This window comes from Homo sapiens, chromosome 2 (genome assembly GCF_000001405.40).
Source record: "Homo sapiens chromosome 2, GRCh38.p14 Primary Assembly".
In the NCBI taxonomy this organism is placed as follows: Eukaryota; Metazoa; Chordata; class Mammalia; order Primates; family Hominidae; genus Homo; species Homo sapiens.
In genome coordinates this window covers 64,027,990-64,040,390 of record NC_000002.12, presented here as the reverse complement: position 1 = coordinate 64,040,390, position 12,401 = coordinate 64,027,990, and the positions used below count along the sequence as shown (strand labels likewise).

The following is a 12,401-nucleotide window of genomic DNA, read 5'->3' as shown; positions in this document are numbered from 1 at the left end:
TAGTTGAGGATTTCGCTCTCTTATTCAATCTCCACTTCCTTTCCCCACTTCCTCTCACTATAGCTTTATCATAATCTTTAAATGTCATAAGGCAGGACTTTTTGGTAAAAACAAAAACTTTTTTTCTTAGGGCAAAAGTGTTTTGATTAATTTGGTAATAAGTATTCACATAATTATGACTATGTAAAGATTTCTAAATATCAAAGGGCTAGCAATATTTTTTTCCAAATCTCCAAACATAAAAACATCCAACAACCTAGCAGTTCCATTTTTTCTCAAGACCTTCCTCTCATATCCCTCTAACTCCTCATCTAATCAGGACGACTGCTCCATAGACTTGGGGCATGGTTGTCATTCTAGGACTTCCCCTCACTATCCTCTGTGTTAGCTCTCTCATTTCCTGGACTACTTTTTCTTTCTCAGTTTACTCTCCAGTATTCCTGAAATAGACATTTCCTAAGAAAAGGTACATATAGGTAAAATTTTGAGTCCTTGAATCTCTGAAAATGTCTTTTTTTGAGACAGGGTCTTACTCTGTTGCCCAGACTGGAGTGCAGAGGCACGATTATGGCTCATTGCAGCACCCATCTCCCAGGCTCAGGTGATCCTCCCACCTCAGTCTCCAGTGTAGCTGGGGCTTCAGGTGCACGGCCCACCATGCCTAGCTAATTTTTTTTTTTTTGTATTTGTAAAGACACGGTTTTGCCATGTTGCCCAGGCTGGTCTCGAACTGCTGAGCTCAAGCCATTCACCAGCCTTAGCCTCCCAAAGTCCTGGGATTACAGGCATGAGCCACCACACCCGGCCAAAATGTCTTTATTCTATCCTCATACTTTATTGGTGGTTTGGTTGGATCTAAAATTCTTAGCTAAACCTAATTTCTCTTCAGAATATTGAAGATAATAGTCCTTTGCTTTCTAGAATTCAGTGACAATATTGAGAAGCATGAGGTTATTGTTTCTCCTTTCTTTTGATCTGATCCTTTTTCCTCTCTTTGGAAGCTTTGATGGTGTTTATTCCCAGTGCTGTAGTTTTTTTCTTCTTCATTTTTGTTCGATACTCTCTGGACCTCCTACTGGCTAAACAATAGAATTTCTGATTGATTCTTTAAGTCTCTTACCTTTTTTCTCCAGTGTTCCATCTCTTTGTTTCCTTGTTTGACTTTCTGGGAGATGTCATCAATGTTCTCATGCTTTTCTTTTCTGCTTTTAAATTCAGTGATTGTATTGTAAATTCCCAAATGCTTTTTAAAAATAATTTTCTTCAGTACCCTGCATCATCTTGGTTTCCTCTGAGTTCCTTTCTGGTTCGTTTGTTACCTTTGATACTGTGAGCTTTTCCCAATTACCTGGTGATTCTTGGGTTTTTGTTCTTTTTGTATGTGCATTTACATGACAGAAATAAACTAAAAAGATATATTGGAAGGCCTTGCTGGAGTGAGGAGGACAGGTCAAATGGTGGGTTTCACTTATGGTGATCGGTTGGTACACCAGCCTTTTTATTGGCCGACTACCAAATGTCAGTATGAGAGAGTAAAGCAACTTAGTTTCTCCACAGAAGAAACTAAATTCTCCCATCTTAAGTTGCATTTTGTGAGCAAGGTGTAGAAATGAGTCTGACCGTCCACCGTTCAGCCAGAACATTTAGGCTGATGCAGCCAAGGTAATTCAGATTAGATGTCTGTAACATGTACATCTGCATTAAAAAATAGTCTGAAAGTACGTATACCAAAATGTTAAACTAGTTATCTCTTAGTTGTGGATTCATGGGTTATTTAAATTCTCTTTTTTTCTTATCTAAATTTTCTAATTTTTCTACAAAATTAACTATTTGATTTTTTAAAGTATTTAAATAAAATCAAACCATAAAAAACACCCAATTTCTTAAATGGACAAAAGATTTCAACAGATATTTCATCAAAGAAGAGATACAGATAGCAAAATAAGTACATGAAAAGATGCACAACACCTTTTGTAATTAGAGAAAAACAAATTAAAACCACAACGAGATACTACTATATACTCATTAGAATGGCTTTTTTGAAACAACGCATATACTACCAAGTGCTGGTAATGGTGTAGAGCAATTTTCATACGTTGTTGATGGGAATGCAAAATGGTACAGCCACTTTGGAAAGCAGTTGGCAGTTTTCATGAGGTTATACACATACCACATGGCCAATAATCCTACTCCTAGATATTTACCAAAGAAAAATGAAAGCATATGTTCATACAAAAAACTGTACGTGAATATTTACAGTAGATTTATTCATAATAGCCAGAACCTGGAAACAACCCAAATATCCTTCAACTGTATGATATTCCTTTGATATTCCATAGTATGAATATCTCCATACTATGGAATACTACTCAACAATGAAAATAAATGAACTATTGATACATATTACAACAATATGAATAAATCTCAAATGCATTATGTTAAGTGAAAGAAGCCAGACTCAAAAGGCTGTATTCTTTCTAGTTCCATTTATATGACATTCGGGAAAAGCAAAACTATAGGGACATAGGACAGATAGGTGGTTGCCAGGGGTCAGGGACAAAGGGACAAGCTAACAAAAGGACAGTATGAGAGAATTTTTTGAGTGATGGCACTTTCTGTTTCTTGATTATATGACTCTATGCATTTGTAAAAACACATGGTGTCATGTGCTAAAATGAGTGACTTTTACTGTATAGAAATTTTTGGGGCCAGGCGAGGTGGCTCACACCTGTAATCCCAGCACTTTGGGAGGCCGAGGTGGGTGGATCATCTGAGGTCAGGTGTTCAAGACCAGCCTGGCCAACATGGCGAAACCCCGTCTCTACTAAAAAATCCAAAAATTAGCTGGGCATGGTGGCAGGCGCCTGTAATCACAGTTACTTGGGATGCTGAGGCAGGGAGAATTTCTTGAACCTGGGTGGCAGAAGCTGCAGTGAGACGAGATCACACCACTGCACTCCAGCCTGGGTGACAGAGCGAGGCTCCATCTAAAAAAAAAAAAAAAAAAATAAGAAATTTTAAAAAATACAAATATAAAAAACACTGCGTATTAAAATTACAACTTACAAAACTCTTAAATTAGAAGCTAAATATTTCAGAAGGATCCTATGTATGGTTCCTCTAAATAGCAAGACCCCTCTGGCATTAAAATATAATGAAATTTGGCTGGGCGCGGTGGCTCACGCCTGTAATCTCAGCACTTTGGGAGGCCGAGTCAGGTGGATCATGAGGTCAGGAGTACGAGGCCAGCCTGGCCAACATAGTGAAACCCCGTCTCTACTAAAAATACAAAAATTAGCTGGGTGTGGTGGCATGCACCTGCAGTCCCAGCTACTCAGGAGGCTGAGGCAGGAGAATCACTTGAACCTGGGAGGCGGAGGTTATGGTGAGCCGAGATCACGCCACTGCACTCCAGGCTGGGCAACAGAGCGAGACTTCATCTCAAAACAAACAAACAAACAAACAAAAATATATATATATATATATGAAATTTATAAAATGTATAAAATTAACTCACACATAAAGATTCTGGCACATATCTATTGTACACTGTCTGAACACTGGCAATGCTGAGTCCATGAAGTCATAAGAACTACATCTTTATCCTTGGAAAAGATGAGACATTGGTCAAAGAGAGCCTGATGTGACAAAGTGAAATTAATACAACTCCATTCCTACTATTCCATTAATTAAACACATATTTATAATTATTTATAAATATTTGTTCGTTGCTTATTATATAAAAGCTTATGACAATGCAGAGAATACAGAGATAAATAATGAATCGTATGCAAAGATCTAGTAAGGGAAACTAACCACATAATAAGTCACATAGCCACATTACTAGGCAGGAAATGACTAGTGCTGCATGAGAGGTATGGAGGAGGGATTCAGAGTAGAAGATTACTCTTTCTTAGTAGTGAGGTCAGAGATTGCTGTTTGCACTACACTGCATTTTTAAAAGGGTATTTGAAGAAGAGGTCAAATTTGAATATGCAGAATTGGGCATGTGGGAGCTGGGAAGGAGCCCAGGGAAGGCAATTCAAGCAAAAAAGAAAACAAAACAAAATGAAACTCATATAATTTTTCTTACAAATAATGGGGAAGTAGCTGTAAACACACTAGCTATTATCCTTATCATCATCATCATTATGTGGACACTATGTGACACACGGACCACTTTGCCCACCATGTTAATTTGCTCCCAACCTTACTTATTGTACTAGCCATTGTGTTCTTCCAGCAGAATCTTCAGTGTTAGCCCAAAAGTTCTTGGGGTCTAACCACCTGAAACATGATTTTGTTGACTCTATCGCTAAACGTTAAAATGTGTGATTATTCAGTAAAAAATATATACCTTCTGTCACTTTTTTTCCCCATGATTCCTTTGCCATTGTGAATAATATCCTCTTAAAATGCCACATAAAATCATACATCTCTGGTATTCTCATTAAAACTAAAATGTATTTTAAATTCTCTTGTTCCTGTATTCAACCAGATAAAAAGGAGGAACAGATCAATTTTCACGTGCCCTCTGTAATTGCAATTTTCAGTACTTCAACCATGTCCCTTTATACTCTTTTCTATTTTGCAGGCTAAATAATCACTTTGAGTCAGTTGCCGCAGTGAAACTTGAAACCTGATCATTGAAGAAGCCTGCAAGTTAGCAGAAAACAAGTCATACCAGGATCTGCTGCTCCAGCTGCATATTGAAGATTCAAGTCTGTTTAAAAATACCCTTATATTTCCAGTTAGTTTCATTGCTATAATATAATTCAAGCCTTAAATAACTTTCCAAAGTTGTTTTCTTGAAGAATATTATATAGTCATACCTACCCACAACTTCTAGGTGGCTCACCATAATCTTATAAGATTATAGTGATGTGATATATAACTATATAGTGATATGATATATGATATAGTGATGATGTATAACTATAATCTTATAAGACTATAGTGATATGATATACAACACTGCTTAAGCATAATTTGTGGGAAATGACATGTGCTGGTTACATGAATTTTCTGGTTAAGCCCTTTTATCTTTCAATCTTGTCACATGATTCAGGATTTTGAGTTGCTTCGTTTCTGAAAATGATGCTGTTATTGAGAGCAGAACCTATGCGGCTAGATGCTGTTTTGATATTATTTTGCTGCTGTTTCATTTGTTGTTGTCATTTGTCTCTATTAAGGGCAGATCCTTTCCCCTTCTCTCTTCTCTCTGTCTCTTCTCTCTCTCTCTCCCTTTTTCTGTCTGCTTTATGTATGTGTGTGTGTGTGTGTGTGTGTGTGTGTGTGTGTATAATTGAGGTGCCAATTAATGCAAGTTAATCGGGTTCTGATTAACTTGGGGTTTTACTGTTAGCAGGCCAAATTACCTCACCCCTAGAAACACCTGGAATATATTCCCTTCTTTTTCTTGTCCCAGTCACTATTCCTTCTTAATGAAAACGAAACAAAACTTATTCACAAAGCCATGTCTCCCAACTACTTGTGAAAACCCATTGTTAACAGCTATCAAAAGCCCATTTATACTTAAATTTGCCAAGCTGATATTTGGTAGTTCTGAATATATAAAACTCCTTTGGTTATCAAGAGAGAATACAGCCTATATTAGTTTGTTCTCATGCTGCTATGAAGAAATGCCGGAGACTGGGTAATTTATAAAGGAAAGAGGTTTAAGTGACTCACAGTTCCACAGGGCTGGGGAGGCCTCAGAAAACTTACAATCATGGTGAAGGGGGAAGCAAACACGTCCTTCTTCACATGGCAGCAGGAAAGAGAAGAATGAGAGCCAAGTGAAGGGGGAAGCCTCTTATAAAATCATCAGATCTCATGAGAACTTACTATCATCAGAATAGCATGGGGGAAAATGTCCCCACGATTCAATTACCTCCTACTGGGTCCCTCCCACAACATGTGGGGATTATGGGAACTACAATTCAAGATGAGACTTGGGTGGGGACACAGCCAAACCATATCACAGCCTATAAGGTATGAAGAAATAGGGCAGATCTAACAATGATTTGCACAGTCCTAAGCCCTAGACAGTGGGGGAAATGGTTGGCATACCAAAAAGTCACCACTACCACCATTAATTTATTCAGCAAATTTGTAAAAAGTCTACTATGTGCAAATCACTATACTAAGGGCCATAAAGAGGACAAGGCATGATCTAGTAGTTTAATATGGAGACTAATAGTTTGAGCAGAGCTAGTATGTCACACATGCCATGTTCATGGTTCAGGAAATAATATGACAATTCAAAGGAGGATGATGTCACTTCTGGGTATGTGATAAAGGAAAATTTTGTAAAAGAGATGATGTCTGAGCTGATCCTTGAAGAAGGTGTAAGAGTTTAGTAAGCAGAGTTGACAGAGTCCAGTGAAAACAAAGAGGCAGGAAAGCCCAAGTCTGTTCAGGGGCTGTGAGGAAAGATGCGTGAAGGAGAAAAATGACAAAAAGGGTTAGAAAGGCAGGTAGGATTCAATCAGGGAAAACTACTCCCAGCTACATTTTGAACCTTATTCCAAATAAATGAACAGTTTTGACCAAAGCCCTGGTCAAGGGCTCAGACTTTTTATCAGATAGATTTGAGCTCCAATCCTGATTCTACTTACTATTTATGACCTTAAGCAAGTCACCTACCTTACCTCTCTAAGCCTCAGGTTGATCACCTCTATCTCACAGGGCTGCTATCAGGTTTAAGTATAACTGGGATATGAAACACTCACTCATTCTGAAAATATTTACTGACCCTTCACTGTATATGTCCCAGACACTGAGCTTTGTAGTGCTAATACAGAGATAAAGGTAGAAACCCTTCCTTCAAGGAACACATGAGCCAATGCGTAAGGCAGATAAGTAAACAGAAAACTACAATATAGTATGAGTGAGCACAGGGGCAGAGGTGTTCAATAACTCAGATCAGGGGTGGGGGTGGTAAAGAAAACTGACCAGAGGAGGTACTCCCTGAGGCATCTCAAAGGATCCTTTGAAGAGGGATAGAAATAGAACTTACTTTCTAAGGTCTGATTATTTTTATTAGCCTTTATGTTAACATGCAGTTTCTAGCAGAAACAAACATTTAAAACTCTAAATAAATTTTTGTTGTTATTGTTATTCACTTTCATCTGTCTGGTTAATTGTTTTTGTCTTATTTCGAAGTCAGAAAAATAGAGATGGAGTAGGAGAGAGTACCTTATTTCTCAGGTGACCAAAGAGAAGAAGAAAAGAGTCCATTTGCAATCATGATAGCAGTGGAAGAGCCAAATCCCTGGGACATGTGATAAAATGAAGGAATTAAAGGGAAGTTAGCTTAACACGAAGTAGGAAATCCAGGTTCTCATTTGCAGGAGATCTGTTACAGACATTTGTTGGGTTTACAACCCATATTTATTTCCTCTTTTGAAACAGGGCCACAGTTTTGTTTTGTTTGAATCTTTACCTATTTTTATTATACGTGTTCTGGTGAAGCTGACTCCATTTGACTCTGGCTTCATGAGTTGGCTGTGATTCAGGCTTGGCCAATTAGAGTCTCACACTGGCCACGGTGATTGGATCAGAGATGAAGGCATGCTCCAATTAGAGCCAGTCAGAGGCAACGTGGGACTTTTGCTGAACTCCTAAGACAAGTATGCCTTGACTTCTACTTGTTTGAACGTGGGAAGTTGTAGACTAGGAGCTGCTGGTCGCTACTTTGCCACCACTTGCAGCCTTAGATTGAAGCCAGTCAACAGGGAGGAGAGCAGGGATCCTCATAGAAGAATGTAAAGTCCATGGGGGCAGGAAGCTTGGCTTTATTTTTAAATCTTTTTTTATTGGCACATCATTCACATACAGAAAAAAATGTACAAAACAAATGTTTGGGTCAAAAATTATTACAAAATGAATACACCCATTTGTCTACCACCTAGATGAAGAAATAGAACATTACCCCCTCATGCTTCTCCCAATCACTATACCTTCTCTCCTGCTAACTAGTAACATCATAGTTTGACAGTTTTTAAGTTATATAGATAAATGGAGTATATACTTGTGTGTCTGGCTTCTGTCACTCAACATTATTGTAAATGTCTTTGGTACATATATGCCTTCATTTCTATTGAATATATTCCTGAGGATAGAATTGCTGGATCCTGGAGTATACAAATGTTCTGCTTTAGAAGATCATTGCCAAATTATCTTCTGAAGTTATTGTGTCAACTTACTCTCCTACCCTAGTGTGTACCTGTTATTGCATATCCTAGGCAACATTTGGTGTTATAAGTCTTTAAACATGAATGTACAGTATATCATATTGCACTTTCCTAATTACTAATGAGGCTGAATACCCTTTCATATGTTTATTGGCCATTTGTATGTCCTTTTTTGTGGAGTACCTATTCAAGCGTCTATTGAGTTACCCATTTTTTTTCTTTTTTTTTTTTTTTTTATTATACTTTAAGTTTTAGGGTACATGTGCATATTGTGCAGGTTAGTTACATATGTATACATGTGCCATGCTGGTGCGCTGCACCCACTAACTCGTCATCTAGCATTAGGTATATCTCCCAATGCTATCCCTCCCCCCTCCCCCCCATTTTTTTTTCTTTTTTGATTTGTAGGAGATATTAAAATTTTTATCTTTTAAAATATCCTGAATATAAGGCCTTTTTAGCTACAGGTGTTGCAAATACCTTCTCCCACTGGGCTTGCCTTTTTATTCTCTTAATGCTGCCATTGGACAAACATGTTACTAATTTTTTTTTTTTTTTTTTGAGACAGAGTCTCGCTCTGTCACCCAGGCTGGAGTGCAGTGGCACAATCTCGCCTCACTGCAACCTCTGCCTCCTGGGTTCATGCCATTCTCCTGCCTCAGCCTTCCGAGTAGCTGGGACTACAGGCGCCCGCCACCACGCCCAGCTAATTTTTGTATTTTTAGTAGAGATGGGATTTCAACATGTTGGCTAGGATGATCTCGATCTCTTGACCTCATGATCCACCCACCTCAGCCTCCCAAAGTGCTGGGATTACAGGCATGAGCCACAGTGCCCAGCCTTCTTCTCAATTCTTATATTGTTAAAAATGTCTTTTTCTTGAATTGTTGCACTGACTAGAACCTCCAGTGCAATGCTGAAAAGAAGCAGTGATAGTGGACTTGCTTGTCTTTTGTACCACTGCATCTCTAGTGTCTAAAATGGAGCATGGGACTCAGTAGCTTTTCAATAAATATTTTTAAATGAATGACAGTAAAGCTGAGAGAAGTGGGAAGATTGGTTCCTGCTTGATCATTTAAGCTTCCAGATCCCACCATGTCTTAAGTCATCCCTAACCTTGGACTTCTTAATGACATGAAGCAATAAATTTGTTCTCCCTTTTTATGTTGTTTTCACCACGTTAGCCAGGATGGTCTCAATCTCTTGACCTCATGATCTGCCAGCCTTGGCTGCCCAAAGTGCTGGGATTAGAGGCATGAGCCACTGCACCCAACCTGAATCATCTTTAATCCCTACCCATTTCTTAGCTTCTTTGTCCAGCCAATCACCCAGTACTGTCAATTCTGTCTCCAAGGATATCTCTTCAATCTGTTGTTATGGACTGAATGTTTGTGTCCCACCACCCAAATTCATATGTTGAAGCCCTAATCCTCACTGTAATGGTATTTGGAGATGAGACTTTGGAAGGTAATTAGGTTTAGAAAGGGTCAGGATGGTGGGACTCCCTTGAAGGGATTAATGTCTTTATAAGAAGAGGAGGAGACTGATGTTTCTCTCTCTCTCTACCATATGAGGACATAAGTAGAAGGCAGCCATCTACAAGCCAGGAAGAGAGCCCTCACCAGAAACCTGACCATACAGGCACCCTGAGTTCAGCCTCTGGAACTGTGAGAAATAAATTTCTGGTGTTTAAGCCAACCAGTCTATGGTATTTTGTTACGGCAACCCAAGCCAACGAAGACATCTGTCTAACTGGTCTTAGTCTTTACCTGACACCTGGACCCCTTGGATAACCTTCTAATTGCAGGTGCCACACCTTCTTTTGGTCATCTCCACTAATTCACTTTCCACATAGTGGGTCAAACCGATCTTTTAAAAACATGCTTATGTCACCTCATTGCCCAAAGCCCTATTATAGTTTATAATAAAGCTCAAACTCCACCAAGACCTACACCTTCTTGTATGCTCTGGCTTTGGCCCAATTGTCTCATTTAATGCCAGCCACATTGGTCCTTTGTTTCCTCTACTAGCCTACTAGTTCTTCATGCCTCAGAGCCTCTTTCTGCTGGCTGTTTCCTCTTCACCACCACTACTCCTCTACCCTGACCAACTCCTATTCATTTTTCAGTTTAAATGTTGCTTTCTTGGGCAAGGATTCTCTATTTATCTATGTTAAATTATACTCAGCTTGACAAGCTCTCCTAACTTCTGCCTTCTCATGATACATATCCTAACTGTTGTCGAACAATTCCTATAATTGTTTAATGTCTCTCTTCTCACTCCAGATTGTAAGTTCTATGACAGCATGAACGGAACCAGTCTTGCTTACTGCTAGCTTATAGGACCCAGAACACCCTTGATAAATATCCATTGAGTGTGAATGGATATCTGGATATTTATTTAAGAATGAGGATGTGTGCTGGGGGTTAAGGAGTTCTTGTGTAGAAATATTTTTCCTACCTCTTCATTACAATAAAAGATTTAGAATGAGAATCACAATATTGGTTCCATCATTAAGGGGAATCATAATTTTGACAAATTTAACCTCATTCTGGGGGCAAGTAGTGAGTAACTGAGGTAGCCACCAATATACTGGAGCAAAATATAGGTAGGTCGGCAGGCAGTAAAGAATCAGCAATTTCCTTCTTGGATGCCATTAACCAGAGAGATATGCTGACCACCTGGAATCAAAGCAGCACTCCACTGGCATGCATGAGTGAGCCAGTTTAATCATAAAGACAAAGCCATTTATACAAGCTTTTTGTTTGCTCATTGATTTGATGTATGCTTGTTGTAGAGCTCTGCAGGGGGAAAAACTGTCAGTTGCCTGACTTTCAATTTGTAATAGACACAGAAATATGTATGCTTTGTAAATGTGTCCTTTATGCTCATTTTACATTTCTTTTGCTATGCATACTGATCTGCAAAGTAAAGTTGGGACAAACTTAGAAGAATAGAAATAGGCTTTTGCATATTTATGAAGGAAGAATACACGAAAATAGGCTATACATTTTCTAAAATACTGGATTCTTGCAACCAAACAAGAGATCTATCTTTGGACTTAAGAACTGGTAAAGAGTATTTAAAATAATAAATTAATGTATGTTGATTATTTCCTAAGTTATTAAACATCTGTTACCAAGCAAAATCTTTCCTACAAGATGGTTTTTTCTTACAAGTAATGAAAAACTTCATATTTTAGTGAAAGTTCTAACTTTTCCTTTGGGGACAGTGAGAGGAGAATACAATTTTTTTTTAATTCAAGTAATAACTAATTTCAGTTAACATAATTCTTACTTTTCCAGCTATTTGTTGTTATAGCATTTCCTCAGTATAGTGCGAGGCAAAGATCACTAGTCTTAATGTCCTTAAACCTGGTTTCTGATTGGAAATCAGCTGCCACCACTAAAACATGATCTGTCTCAGCCCTCGTCTGTCAAATGAGAGGCATCTGCTGTCCTAAAAGTCTGATTTCAGTGATGTTTTCTTTCTTTTGAGTTTATTAATTCTATTTTATATATTGGCTTAAAAGCTATTAAATAAAAGCATGGAAGGGAAAAAAATGCTGTTCTAAATATAAAGTAAGATTTTTGGAAGTAAGACTTCTACATTGAAACCAGATTCTGATTGAGAACTTTTTATTAGAGCTCAGGAATTCATAGCAGTAAAGAGAGTAAAAAAATACAGATGTTTTACTGCCTGGTGTAATGGGAACCAAAATGACCAGACAGTGGCATGAGAATTAAATGACCTTTATAATGCATTTTGGTATCCAGGAAAATCCATTACATAATTGCAATCCATTCTTATATTAATCTCTTACTTTGGATTATGTTGTTAAATTTGCCTAGTTTTATGATGCTCAGGGTTGTTTTGTCTCTATTTGGCTTGCAAAATTTTCCTCACTGCTTGATTTTTATTTTTTTCCATTTAAAAATATTATATAGTGGGGTAAGAATTTGTATCCCTTGTATTTCTACCCCTTAGGGGGTTCTTCCTGAGCAACGGCTGGTGTTGTCGCATACCCAGTTGATGTATAAGGTGGTTCTTGAGAAAATCCTTTAGGAGGCCAACCCTGGCTTCTGTTTCTCTGGCAATGTATGGCTTCTAAATTGCCCACAATTTTCCTTGAGAAGTTTTAAACAAAATTTCTCCTCTCCTGAGATAAGTTTTAAATGAGAATTTTTTTTTCCTGGCTGGGTG

The 12,401-nt window shown here is 38.2% G+C and overlaps 1 annotated feature.

Moving 5' to 3' along the window:
• Positions 3,892-3,971: a silencer, noted in NCBI's record as "silent region_11545". NCBI's record gives its function as "represses an Ori minimal core promoter by ATAC-STARR-seq in GM12878 lymphoblastoid cells {active_cell/tissue: GM12878}" and the evidence as "EXISTENCE:reporter gene assay evidence [ECO:0000049][PMID:35858748]".